Source organism: Homo sapiens, chromosome 12, assembly GCF_000001405.40.
Source record: "Homo sapiens chromosome 12, GRCh38.p14 Primary Assembly".
Lineage (NCBI taxonomy): Eukaryota > Metazoa > Chordata > Mammalia > Primates > Hominidae > Homo > Homo sapiens.
In genome coordinates, this window is record NC_000012.12 from 112,312,554 (window position 1) to 112,327,278 (window position 14,725).

The following is a 14,725-nucleotide window of genomic DNA, read 5'->3' on the forward strand; positions in this document are numbered from 1 at the left end:
TTGTTTAAAGTAGATGTTAACAATTCATGCTCCCTTGAACCTCTTCATTTTTTGCTTTTAGGACAGGAGGGCTCATTAACACACACACAATAAATTACTAAAGGAAATATTATCAAGCAGTAAGACCTGATATTCTATTAGCAGACAAAAAAATTCAACTTAAGGCTATCATACCCAAACTCAAATATCCAGCAGCCAATTTAAGTAATTCATGGCTCCTTGGCAAGAGTGTATGGATGATATCTTTTCCTTGTGATAATAAAACCTATCCATTTTCTTACCTCACCAGTATCAGCTTTTATACGTTTACTGATAAAGCAGACAATGAACATACTGAATAGAAATCTGGAGCTCTTAATTAAAAGGAACATACAGAGTTATAGCCATATCATTTGCTACAGTGATCTAAAACCTCTTTATTTACATCTTACTATTAATCACAGGACAAAAACTTTTACATTACCTTTATTTTCAGAACTGGAGCCAGTGTTGCTATCCGGCGCAGGCAACATGTCTTCATAACCCCATGATACTATGTGTTTGCCCCCAAGCAAACAGGAGGGAGATCCAGGCCCCCCTTCCAAAAGCAACAGCCTATATGGGGGAGAAAGAAAATCACAAAGACACTGAGACAATCCATTTCAGCAAGAAGTATACCTGCTACCCCAAAGAGTAGAAACCAAAATTTTAAAACTAAGATGTATAATATTTTATACAAATATTATTCAAAAAAGACATTTATAGTATTTTTATTTTTTATTTATGTTTCTTTTTTTTTTGAGACAGAGTCTCGCTCTGTCACCCAGGCTGGAGTGCAGTGGTGCGATCTCAGCTGACTGAAACCTCCACCTCCTGGGTTCAAGCGATTCTCCTGCCTCAGCCTCCAGAGTAGATGGGACCACAGTCACCTGCCACAATGCCCGGCTAATTTTTTTTTTTTTTTTTTTTTTTTGAGACAGAGTCTCGCTCTGTCACTCAGGCTGGAGTGCAGTGGCGTGATCTCGGTTCACTGCAAGCTCCACCTCCCAGGTTCATGCCATTCTCCTGCCTCGGCCTCCCAAACAGCTGGGACTACAGGGGCTCACCATCACGCCCGGCTAATTTTTTGGTATTTTTAGTAGAGATGGGGTTTTGCCATGTTGGCAGGCTGGTTTTGAACTCCTGACCTCAAGTGATCCTCCCGCCTTGGCCTCCCAAAGTGCTGTGATCACACGCATGAGCCATCACGCCCTGCTACAATATTTTTAAATTAAAAAATTACGAAGCTATGTTTATAAAAATTATATCTGTGTGTAAAATATACTATTTTATGTGTATTTTTGTGTGTGACAGAGAGACAGAGTGGGTTATGAATTAGGAAGCATATGTACCAAAATGTTAGGAGTAGTTATCTTTGGGTAATGAGATTATGAATGATTTTCACTTTCTTCATTATACCTTAATATATTATCATCTCAAAATTTGCATCAGAATTCATTATAAGCTATTGCATCTTTATTTTTTGAAACAGAGTCTCGCCCTGTCACCTAGGCTGGAGTGCAGTGGTGTGATCTCGACTTACTGTAACCTCTGCTTCCTAGCCTCAAGCAATCCTCCTGCTTCAGCCTCCCTAGTAGCTGGGACCACAGGCACGCACCACCACACTCATGAGTTATTATGCCCCACCAGCTATTGCATTTTTAAAGACATAGAACTAAAAAATAATGAAAAATAACATGCTCTAAAAACTTTCCAAAAAGGAAAGATAAAAAATAAAATTCTTAAGAAGGTAAATATGAGTCTATACTTATTTTAAAATGAATCACTAATTGATAAGAGTTTAGCAATCTACTTAATAAAGGAAGCATTTGGCACAAATCTGCCTAGTTTGGAAGGAGGGTAAGGATACAAAGTGACAACTTACCTATATAGCACATCAGCTACAGGCAGGGACCCTAGATCCGTCTGTTTCTGTAATAGATGGACTGTGTGGACGAAAGTTTTCAATGATCCCCTAAAAATAAAAGGAAGGAACAGTAAATCATCAAAATTTAAAATCAAATAATTTAGGTCATTAATGCTAATTTAATTAACCACATGGAAAAGTTCCAAAATGTGTCTCTCTGCTTCTGCTGGTCAGATGATGTGTTGTAAAAAAAATACTTGATTATTAACTATCACCATTGGCTCATACACAAAGATACAATGAAAACAACACCATGCCAATTATGAAGAAGTTCTCCTTGCATTTGGAAAAGTAAACAATTTTCCCCTGGCATAAAAGTTCAAAACATAAGGCTCGAGCACAAAGAACTTGTGGCTATTATGCTTGGTTACTATATCACCAAGTCACCCTCTGGAGGATCATAAAGTCTAACAGTATTTCCAGGCTTGATTTTAAAATCTTTGCTAAGTTCATTCATTTGGAAAAACAGCTAACTAAACTCCATCACATTAAATATGACCAAAAAGAATATATTCAAATAAATAATGCTCTGTGCTGAGAGATGCTCCTTCTGTATCCCTCTGACTGCACATAGTTGTAATACTTGCAACAGGGCTCACCGCTACCTGAATTCCTTGTGGTTTCCAAGACTCAAGGCTCTGGGAAGTCTGTCATATGGTCAGCAAGATCTAAAAGAAGGTGCTTTTAAGATGCACAAGACTTACCTGGCCGCATCCCAAGTACAAATCACCACAAGAACACTTCCTGAACTAAATGATCGCCTGTATCTGACGGGCTGACTTCGACTTGCTGCCTTAGTCTCTTAGCCAAGGCTTTAATTGCTGGGTATCATATGCCTAAACGCCAATAGAAATGGAATACCTAACGCAGAACCAAGTAGGCCTAGAGTCTTCCTGTTAATTGCCCCTTTCACTATCTCTAGTTTCAGAGAATAAAAACAAAAGAATAGCATTAATAGAAGGCAAGGAGGCAGCAGATAGAGTATAAAAACAAGTTGGAATCGGGACACATGGGTTCTGAAACCTGGCTCTGCCACTCATCAGCTGCACAATCTCAGTCCTGTCACCTAACTCCTATGGATTTTTGCTTCTTCATCTGCCCAACAGGGACACTTTCCTGGGGAACAGTGAGGTTTAAAATAAAGAAGCAAAACCTTTAACATTTAGAAAGTTTAGAACTATTAACCAACTCTAAGGAATTATTACCTGCCAGATTCAATCAGATTTGTTTTTTTAAAAGAGACAGGGTCTGGCTGGGTGCAGTGGCTCACACCTGTAATCCCAGCACTTTGGGAGGCTGAGGCAGGAGGATTGCTTGAACACAGGAGTTCAAGGTTGCAGTGAGCTATGATCACACCACTGCACTCCAGCCTAGGCAACGGAATGAGACCATGTCTTAAAAAAAAAAAAAAAAAAAAAAAGAGAGACAGGGTCTCATTATGTTGCCTAGACTGGTCTCGAACTCCTGGCCTCAAGAGATGCTCCTGCTTTAGCCTCCCAAAGTGCTGAAATTATAGATGTGAGCCACCATATCCAGCCTTCAATCAGATTTTAAGAGTAAAATGTAAAGTCCTTCCATGGCTCACAAACCCCTATGTGATCTGGGCCCTGCCAACTTCATCTCCTGCCCCTCTCCTTCTACTATCACGTTCCAGAAACCCTGCCCACTGTGCTGTCCCCTCAGATACCCCAAGCACAAGAATAATGTCAGTTTTGTCACTCGCCACTCCATTTACGTGGAACTCTCTGCCACTGGCTGCTTCTCATCATCCAGGGCCCAGTTCAAGTGTCATCTCTTCAGTAAGGCCTTCCCTGGCATCTCCAGCTAATGCTGCTCTCCACCTCCACAGTCATTCTCTATCAAAATATCTCTCTGTCTTTTCCTATAGTGAATATTCCTCTCTACAATGATCTGTTACCTATATTTGTTGCTCACTGTCTGCCTCCCTCACTCCTATGTAAGCTCTGCAATTTTAGGCACGGTCTACCTGCTCTCCACTGTATCCCTACCACCAAGAGAATGCCTTCCGTGCAGTAAGTGAGCAATAAGGTTTTGCAGAATGACTTACCCTGAGTCCATTCAACCGTAAGCTCTGTGAGGTAAGAAACCTAGAATCACTATATCCCTAAGACCGGGCAAGATTCCTGTACATCAGAAATGTTCAATAAATGTTAGTTGGTTGAATGAATAATCTTCATAATAATTTTGGGGAAGGGTTACTTTGTCTTTGAGAGCATCAACCCAAAAATTCAATAATATGCCACTAATAACTTTAGTAAGATGATCTAACACTGAAAAGCACATGACTTCTGAAGTCCAGAACATGATATTGGCAATAAAATGTAGGAACCATGTTAAAAAAAAAAAAACCCAAGAAGAATAAATAAATAAATACATCCATTTCAACATTTCTGCTGAATGAAATTTAGAATGTCCAGCACAGGAAGTAAGTTCAATAACTATTTTTGGTATAGGCTGAATTTGGGTACACAATAAAAATGTGAGTTTTATGAACCAACAATTAATAACTTAAACTGTTTGAAACTAAAGAGTTGATAATTATTCCTAACATCCTAAATCTGTCTAAAGATAGTACTGTCTAAAAGCACATTTTCTCAAATGGAATTTGCACAGTGATAACAGATCTTGGACTTGAAATTGTCTCTGCATATGCAGAAAATAAATCAATCCAATATAAAGCCTTTACAAGGAAACTTGTTTCAGTACCACACAATGACTCTAGAATTAAGCACATGTCAGGATTCACAAACCACAGTTTTAGGGGATCTAAAACTAGGCTATGACAGCTTGCTCAGAGCAAAGAAACTTACAATAAACACTGGTGCCATTTTGCCTTAAAAAAACCCTTGAGATTCAATCATTTGAAGGTCAACTTTGAAACTATACAGAGAAAAACAGGGCAAGAAGACTTATAACTAAGAACTTCATAATTATCCAAGAAGAATTCTCCCACAGATGTTTGGCTAAAAGAAAGAAGATCCCAACCAAGGAAAAAATTCTACGGAAGACAGACAGAATACTGACACTAATCTGTCAGGCTGTGGTCCTAACTGTTCTCTAGGCAATTAGTCTACTGGAAAACAAAGGTAGTGAAACTTCTTTCTCACAAACAGATGCCAGTGATCATACGGGTCAATGGGTAGAAGAATGTATAAAATTCCTAGAAAAGCAACTCCAGGCCGGGCAGGGTGGCTCATGCCTGTAATCCCAGCACTCTGGGAGGCCAAGGCCGGCAGATTGCTTCAGCTCAGGAGTTTGAGACCAGCCTGGGCAACAAGGGGAAACCCCGTCTCTACCAAAGATACAAAAAATTAGCCAGCCATGGTGGCAGGTGCCTGTAGTCCCAGCTACTCGGGAGGCTGAGGTGGGAGGATCACAGTGAGCTGAGATCATGTCACTGCACTTCAGCCTGGTCTTTGAGAGCAAGACCCCATCTCAAAAAAAAAAAAAAAAAAAAAAAAAAAGAGAGGAATAGGCCAGGCACAGTGGCTCATGCCTGTATTCCAGTACTCTTGGAGGCTGAGGTGGGCGGATCACTTGAGGTCAGGAATTTGAGACCAGTCTGGCCAACATGGTGAAACCCCATCTCTACTAAAAATACAAAAAAATTAGTTGGGCACCTGTAATCCCAGCTACTTGGGAGGCTGAGGCAGGAGAATCACTTGAATCCGGGAGGTGGAAGTTGTGGTGAGCCAAGATCATGCCACTGCACTCCAGCCTGGGTGACAGAGTGAGACTCTGTCTCAAAAAAAAGAGAAAAGAAAAGAGAAAAGAGAGAAAAGCAAAAAGAAAAGCAACTCCAAGCATATTTCCTATTGATAGTGGGTTGATGACTTGCACATGAAGAACAGCATACAATTTTTTTTTTTTTTAAAGACAAAGTCTTGGTCTGTTGCCCAGGTTAGGGTGCAGTGGCGCCAACTTGGCTCACTGCAACCACTGCTTCCTGGGTTTAAATGATTGTCCTGCCTAAGCCTCCAGGTAGCTGGGATTACAGGCACCCACCACAACGCCCGGCTAATTTTTGTATTTTTAGTAGAGACAGGGTTTCACCATGTTGGCCAGGGCAGTCTAGAACTCCTGACCTCAAGTGATCTGCCCACCTCAGCCTCCCAAAGTGCTAGGATTACAAGCGTGAGCCACCACGTCCAGCCATGTGTACTACTATTAAATCTAGATATATACTGAGAAATCTTCCAATTAAATTGATCAAAACAAGTATTAGGTCCAAAAATATAATTTGTGACCAATTTTGTGACTGAGTCCAGGTGAATAATAGCCCACTAGCTTGCTGATGTACTTCTTATAGACAGGTATGAAAAATTAATAGCTCTATAAAGTTTTGACCATCCTCCTAGGAGAAGTAGACATAACATCCTCTGCTAACTACTTGATGTAAAACACTAACCATCTAAGGGACAATTAGATATGTCAAGGGTTGATTCTCCATTTTCTGCTGGTTAAGATGTTATCATGGTATACCAGAAACAGAAAACATGAACTTTGGTTCCAACTCAGGCACCTGGTGCCAAGTTTGGTGAAAGCATCTCATGCACTGTCAAGGCTGTGAAATTCAATACTGAAAGCAAAGAAGGACTTCTGAATGTTAAGACTTCTATCAAATATACTTGGCCTCTTCTTCATTCACCCAACCCAGGTGGCAGTAGTCACAAGGTCACCAAATGATACATTCGATTTTCCTTACCTGGCACAAGCCAAAGCCACCAGGGCAGCAGCAGCATTTTCTTTTTGCTTATGTGGGATGTGTCGGCCTGTGTCAGAAGTCTCCTCTAGCCAAGAGCACAGCAAAGTTTCAATTCCATTGAGACAGTCAGCAGGCTCCTTGGTCAAGCTCAAAGGCTGGCAGTCACGAAGGCAGTTCAATAGCACCTCAGCAGTTATGTTACAGAGAGAGGGGTCTGTTCTACTCTGGGACTGAATAAGGGGGAAGACCAGCAGGAGCCCCATCCTCGATGTGAAGGGCGCTTGCTCAGGTTGCTGCAACAAGCCCTGGCGTTTGAGCAGGGCCAAAGTTTCCTCATCACCTGAACTTTCCCTTTCATGCTGTTCTTCTAAGGCCAGCTGGCGCTGGGCATTCCACAGTCCTCGCAAGGCATTCAGGCGGTATTCCAGCAGCCGGGCATAGGCATTGCTCTGATTCCCACAAACAGAGCGCAAACGTTCTGCTAATTCCGACGGGTTCTTGGTCTCAAAGGTTAAAATCTAAGGAAAAAGACGATGGAGAAGTGGGTAAATATTACTTTCACCAAAGTCATCTAAGGAAGAAAATATGTTTAATGATATCCCAAAATAGTCAACGCCAAAAATTATTTTAATTACAATCAAATGGAAAACGTATACTGTAAAGCCAGCTCTTTGCTGATGGAATTGTTCCCCTTTTGGCTTTTCTGTTAATGCTTCCATGAAAATTGGGATTAGACCTAATTGAAAGAGCCCAAATCATAAAAGAATATAGTTAAGTGTGAAAGTCAGAAATTAACTCCATAATTTATTTTAGAAAATTGAAGTATAAAGCCAGGCGTGGTGGCTCACGCCTGTAATCCCAACACTTTGGGAGGCTGAGGTGGGTGGATAGCTTGAGCCCAGCAGTTGGAAACCAGCCTGGGCAACATGGTGAAACCCTCTCTCTACCAAAAATACAAAAAATAGCCAGGCTTGGTGGTGTGCACCTGTCGTTGCGGCTACTTGGGAGACTGAGGTGGGAGGATTGCTAAAGCCCGGGAAGTAGAGGCTGCAGTAAGCCATGATGGTGCCCTGCACTACAGCCTGAGTGACAGAGCGAGACCCTGTCTCAAAAAATAATACTACAAAAAAAAAGGAAAAAAATTGAAGCATAAACCTTTAGTAAATGATCTTGAGTTATAAATGTTGTTTCTAGGACAGGCGCGGTGGCTCACGCCTGTAATCCCAGCACTTTGGAAGGCAGAGGCGGGCAGATCATGAAGTCAGGAGTTCGAGGCCAGCCTGGCCAACATGGTGAAACACCATCTCTACTAAAAATACAAAAAAAATTAGCCAGGCGTGGTGGCCCACGCCTGTAGTCCCAGCTACTCAGGACCCTGAGGCAGAAGAATTGCTCGAACCCGGGAGGTAGAGGTTGCAGTGAGCCGAGATCGCACCACTGAACTCCAGCCTGGGTGACAGAGTGAGACTCTGTCTTAAAAAAAAAAAGTTAAAGTTTCTAACTCCTATTACCAGATAGAGTACTAGTAAAAATGGAACCAAGTTTTATCTCTGTTCTTCAAAACCTAATATATATATGTTTAATAAATGATGGATTATTCACGGTTCTTTGGTTGTGAAGCATACCCCATTCTTTTTTTTTGAGATGGAGTCTTGCTCTCTTGCCCAGGCTGGAGTGCAATGGCCGATCTCAGCTCACTGCAACCTCCACCTCCCAGGTTCAAGCAATTCTGCCTCAGCCTCCCTAATAGCTGGGATTACAAGGGTGTGCCACCATGCCCGGCTAATTTTTGTATTTTTAGTAGAGACGAGGTTTCGCCACATTGGCCAGGCTGGTCTTGAACTCCTGACCTCAGGTGATCTGCCCACCTCGGCCTCCCAAAGTGCTGGGATTACAGGCCTGAGCCACTATGCCTGGCAGCATACCCCATTCTTAATAGTGTTAACCCATTATTTTAATTTGTGACATGGTAGAGATTTATCCAATTCATATTAGATTGTTTTCTTGCCAAAACATTCAATTATCAGGAGGCCTCCATTTTCAGCAGCTGGGGATAATAAAACCATTATATCTTCTATCAGCTAAGAAAGGAACCAGCTCTCAAGATCAAACTAAATCTCAAGAATCAAACTAAATTTACAATGCAAAGAGTTTATGCACATAAATTTGACTAGATCAAAACCAACAGACTACTGTAATCAACAAAGGAGGGCACTCTAGGAGCAAGCACACTGAAACAGATTATCAGACAATAGAGGTGCCTGGTTCACAGTAGACCAGAAAGTCAGGGTGGGAAGAGGCCTGGGACAAAAGTAAAGAAAATTCTGCCAGGTCTTTGGCACTGACATTAAGAAAGGTCATAGTGCAGTTTATTTCCCTTACAAACTGGAAAAATACTCTTTTATCTCAAATTTTGCCTTTAGAAACTTGTTATTAATATTTTAGCCCAATAAAATAACAAGAATTTCCAAAACAATGCAAACGCTGTAATTGCCTTGCTTAGCTACATATGCAAATCACTGAATTGAACTAAAAAAAAAGTTCACAATTTAAAAACAACAACACAAAACCAAAACAAAAGAAGCAAGAAGCTAAAGAAAAACAAAGATAAGCTGAATTAGAAGCTACTCAATTAGCAAAGGAGAAAGAACTTATAATTAGACAACAAGTATTACTGGCAAAGAAAGAAAAAGACATCCAAAAAAAAAAACATTACAAAGAAATGGTAAGCTAGGTGGGTGACATACGCCTATACTTCCAGCTGCTTGGGAGGCTGAGGCAGGACTGCTTGAACCCAGGAGTTCGAGGCTGTAGTGGCTATGATCGTGCCTGTGAATAGCCACTGCACTCCAGCCTAAGCAACATAGTAAGACCTTGTCTGCTAAAAAAAAAAAAAAAGAAGAAAGAAAAAGAAAGAAAGGCAAAAACTTCGAAACTCATCTAAGATCTGGAATCACTTTTCCAACAATGAGGCAGGGTGGGTTAAAATGATGGAAGAAGGCCAGGTGTGGTGGCTCATGCCTGTAATCCTATAACTTTGGGAGGCCAAGGTGGAAGGACTGCCTGAGGCCAGGAGTTCAAGGCTGCAGTGAGTTATGATGGCACCAGTGCACTCCAGCCTGGGTGACAGGGGGAGACCCTGTCTCAAAAAAGAAAAAAAAAAGAAATGATGCAAGTAGAAAAACTTTGTAATCAGCTTGAACTAGAAAGCTTACAGTAGTTGAATGAAACACATCATCTACAAAAGAAGTAGGAATGGCTGCTCTGGAAAAACAGAAGAAATAAATGAACAAATTACGAAGGAGAAACAGGAAGGTGGGGCTCGTATGTAATAAGCATCTAAGAATGCAGAGAAATAAACTGGCAGAGGTGGAAATGGCAGCAACAACTGGTAAGAAGATGATCTGCAGCTACAAGTTAAAGCTATGAATCTCTTCCCTGCTGGTATGAATTCAAGATGGGAAGTTGGTAAGTTATTGCTAATTACATCAACATACATTCTTCTACTGATGTCAAGACAACCACCAAAGGTGTTACTGGCAAAGCAAAGAGCCTCCAAAAATTGGACCCTCATCAAAAAGATGACAAACAAAAAAGGCTTTTGATAAACTTTAAAAAGAACATTGCCTCAAGCAGACAATGAAACACCTTCAGAATGATTTTACAGTCCATGCACCCACTTCACCCCTTGGAGAACGAACAGAAGCTTTTTGAACAAGCTTTGAAAACACACCCAGTCAACACACCTGAAAGATGAGAGAAAACAGCACAAACTGCCAGTACCTGGCAGGACAAAGAAAGGCTGCATGAAAAGATGCAAGGAACTTGCCAAGATGGTAAAAGCAAAGAAAGCTGCTCAAGAGCAAGTGTTGGCTGGGCGCGGTGGCTCATGCCTGTTATCCCAGCACTTAGGGAGGAGGAGGTGGGAGGATCACTTGAGGCCAGGAGTTCAAGACCAGCCTAGTAGTGAGACCTTGTCTCTAAAAATAAATAAATAAAATAAAATAAATAAAAAGAGCAAGGGTCGAATGCAGATAGAGTTAAGAAATGACTTAATCTTTATTGGGTGTGTACTTTTATAATAAAACTGAAAATACTGTGAAAACAAAACAACAAATTCCAATTCAAAAAATTAACTATAAGTATCTCAGTTAACTAATATGAAAAATATTCATAGTTTTAAAAAAATTCAGTGCCAGCTTATCAGATCTGATGTAATATCAGGATGCCATAAAATTTCAACCCACAACTTAGCAAAGAAAGAAACTATTGATAAACACAACTACTTTAAGGAATCTAATGGCATTTTGTTGAGAGAAGCCAATTTCCAAGGGTTATGTTCTGTATGATTTCATTTCTGTGACATTCTGGGAAAAAAAAAAAACTATGGTAATGGAGAATAGATCAATGGTTACCGGGGTTTAGGGGTAAGGGGAGGTAGGGTCTGACTACACAGGGATAGTATGAGGGAGTTTTTTTGGGGGGGTTGAAGGAATTGTTCCCAGTTGTGGTGGTGGTTACATGAATTAATAACATGTTAAAATTCATAGAACTACACACCTCCCAAAAAAGGCCAGTTTGACTGTATAACTTTAAAGATTAAATAAAAGGAAAAAAATTCCAACCAGACTATAGTTGTATTCAACTAGATATCACTGGGTAAAGATATATTGAAAATAATATCATTAAAAATAAAAATTAGAGGTATTTTTTACTGAGGTGCTTCTTTCTTTCTTTCTTTCTTCCTTCCTTCCTTCCTTCCTTCCTTCCTTCCTTCCTTCCTTCCTTCCTTCCTTCCTTCCTTCCTTCCTTCCTTCCTTCCTTTCTTTCTTTCTTTCTTTCTTTCTTTCTTTCTTTCTTTCTTTCTTTCTTTCTTTCCTCTCTCTCTTTCTTTCTTTTTTTTATTTTTTTTTTGACGGGGTCTCACTCACCCAGGCTGGAGTACAGTGGTGCAATCTTAGCTCACTGGAGCCTCAAGCTTCCCAGGCTCAGGTGGTCAATCATCCCACCTCAGCCTCCTGAGTAGCTGGGACTAGAGGCATGTGCCACTATGCAGCTAATTTTTTGTATTTTTTGTAGAGATGGGGGTCTCCCTACATTGCCCAGGCTAGTCTTGAACTCCAGAGCTCAAGCGATCTGCTTGCCTCAGCCTCCCAAAGTGCTAAGAGTATAGGCATGATCCACTGCGCTCAGCTACTTACTTAGTTTTTAATACAACCACATCAAACAAATAATGATTGATTAAATGTCCTTCACCATCAAGTAATATAAAACTGTATTTCCCTACCCTTTTATTTAGATTCACCAAACACACATTACCTTTTTATTTTTCAGATGGCAGCAGATAAAATAACTCAAGTTCCTTAAAAAATGATCACATTTCAAGGGCAACCACCTGCCTTGAAGCTGTTATCAAACTCAAGAAAGTCATACTGCCTATTTTCATTTGTTTTTTAGTGCTATTACCCCCAAAAATCAGTAACCAGCCTCCACTATTACAATCAATAAAGATTACTGAAATATTTTTCAATGATATGAAAAACTGCAAAATTTTAACTTTGATCATCTTCCCAGTCATAAACATCTAAACAAATAATAAAGTTTTTGGCACTTTAAAAAAGCTTTTCAGTATTGTTATTTCTTCCACCCAAAACAACTCTTTTATATAAAATACCTACCTATGTACTCAACATACATTTTTATTTATGGTACACCAATCATCTACTTATGTTATATGAAGCAACTACTAAAAAAATTCAATATAGTCTTTTATTGAACTCAAATGATGAACAACTCAGTAACATAAAACAGGGCTATTTATTTTTATTATTAAACATGAGTACTTCTGAAATATGACATTTCATGGTACATAAAATGATGTGTATGACAAAATCTGTTGCTAACTCCAAATATTAACTTAATATAGCTTAGAAAAATGACATAATATACTCTGCATTTTTCTGACCATTCTATTTTTACAAGTACTCCAGTTATATTTAGCATTCAATTTAAAAGACAAGTGCACTGAAAGAATTTGAGTTATAATATAATTAACCAAATATTATATAACATACACACTTAAATGACTGTTGTGTTTATTGATTTAGCAGTATCTAAAGCACACTATGCTTTCAGAAATCCATTAGGCTACTCAGCGTTATCCATTTCAGGGGCCCCTTATGAAAACTCAGAACTGTTTGCTATGCCACTGTTTTTTCAGAATTCTAAAGTTTGAAGGTCATGGCCTAAAATCATTTTATAAAAAGACATCATACCTTTGGGTTTTTGTAAGTCAGCTATGGCATATCTATTCTGGTACTTATGAATATTAAATGATTTGTCTCAGATCCTCACATAAAACCACTGCTCTTGACCAAAATGTCATTAGAAATTAATATTTTTCTCTTTAAAAAAGTGGAAAGCTATTTAAGGAAAAGGGAATATCCCTGTCATCCTTAATCAGAAGTGTTACTAACTGTACTTTGGTGATAATGCTAACGTTACCCTAATTAAGGGAGTGACTGCCAAAGTAACTCACAGCCTTCATGTATTTTTTTTAATCACACATAACATATGTGTTTTGTTGCCGTTTTTTTTTTTTTCTTTTGAGACAGGTTGACTCCAGCAGCCTTGCTCTGTCACCCAGGCTGCTGGAGTGCAGTGGAACGATCATGGCTCACTGCAGCCTGAGCCTCTCAAGTAGCTGGAACCACAGGCCTGCACCACCACACTCGGCTAATTTTTTGTATAGACAGGGTCTCGCTATGTTGCCCAGGCTAGTCTCAAATTCCTGGGCTCAAGCAATCCTCCTGCCTCGGCCTCCCAAAGTGATGGGATTGCAGGCATGAGCCACCGCACCTGGCCAACATAAGTGTTTTTAAACTAAGGAAACAGTCATTCTGGAAAGTCTAATTGAATGTGGGTAAAATATTCTTTGCTGGCCAAATCTGGCTTTGAACAAGACTACAATATCTGATAGAAGAACAGAGTGGTCAGGCCAGCTGTGATGGCTCACGCCTGTAATCCCAACACTTTGGGAGGTTCAGGTGATCTTGAGGCCAGGAGTTTGAGACCAGCCTGAGCAACATGGCAAGACAGTCTCTACAAAATAAAAAATAATTAGCTGGGTGTGGTGGCATGCACCTATAGTCCCAGCTACCTAAAAGGCTGAGGCAGGAGGATTGCTTAAGCCCAGGAGTTCAAGGCTGCAGTGAGCTATGATTGCACCACTGCATTCCAACCTGAGTGACAGAGTGAGACCCTGTCTCAAAAACAAAAACAAAAACAAAAAAAACAGATGATCAATCAGATCATTTTAGCCAATTTACTAATTTATTTCCATTTTTTTCTGGGAAAATACTGGACAACAGATACCAGCCAGCCATGATGTGAAATGTGAAATGCCAACCTGCATTTCAAGTAAGTGTAGGAGTGAGGATAGGCATATAGACGCTTTTGAAGTTGTAGAGAATATTATATATACATATAAGGACATTAACTAGACTAATCATTAGCATAAACTACTATAATCCTGTAAGGATAAACATCGATTTCCATCTACTTTGCTGTTCAGAATAGCAGAGAGATAATTATTGAAAAGGGTCAAGTAAGAAGCTAAAATCATCTTCTCTCTTGTCTATACAAATATATATACAAATATATATTTGAGCATATTTCTGAAAGAAATAGAAATTATATTTCTAGGAATTTGTCCTAAAGCAATATTCTAGAAGTAAGAAATACACAGAGATATTCATTGCAGTATTGTTTATTATAGTGGGAAAGGTAGAAGCAATCTCAATGTATAAAAGGGAAGTGTTGGGCCAGGCGCGGTGGCTCACGCCTGTAATCCCAGCACTTTGGGAGGCCAAGGTGGGCAGATCATGAGGTCAAGAGTTCGAGACCAGCCTGGTGAAACCCCGTCTCTACTAAGAATACAAAAATTAGCCGGGTGTGGTGGCGCATGCCTGTAATCCCAGCTACTCAGAAGGCTGAGGCAGGAGAACTGCTTGAACCCGGGAGGTGGAGGTTGCAGTAAGCCAAGATCGTGCTAC

General features: G+C 40.0%; 1 protein-coding gene and 1 pseudogene across 2 annotated transcripts in view; one reads left to right on the forward strand and one right to left on the reverse strand.

Annotated features, from left to right (window-relative positions):
• The window catches only part of HECTD4 (HECT domain E3 ubiquitin protein ligase 4), a 222,237-nt gene that overhangs the window by 152,359 nt on the left and 55,153 nt on the right, over positions 1–14,725 (reverse strand). For both annotated transcript variants that reach the window (NM_001388303.1, NM_001109662.4), the window contains exons 2-4: positions 6,672–7,189; positions 1,904–1,993; positions 464–594 (exon numbers count right to left, since the gene is read on the reverse strand). In NM_001388303.1, coding sequence (NP_001375232.1) covers positions 464–594; positions 1,904–1,993; positions 6,672–7,189 — 739 coding nt within the window. The remainder of the gene's footprint in view (positions 1–463; positions 595–1,903; positions 1,994–6,671; positions 7,190–14,725) is intronic.
• Positions 9,836–10,543, forward strand: LOC100421482 (DnaJ (Hsp40) homolog, subfamily C, member 2 pseudogene; annotated as a pseudogene).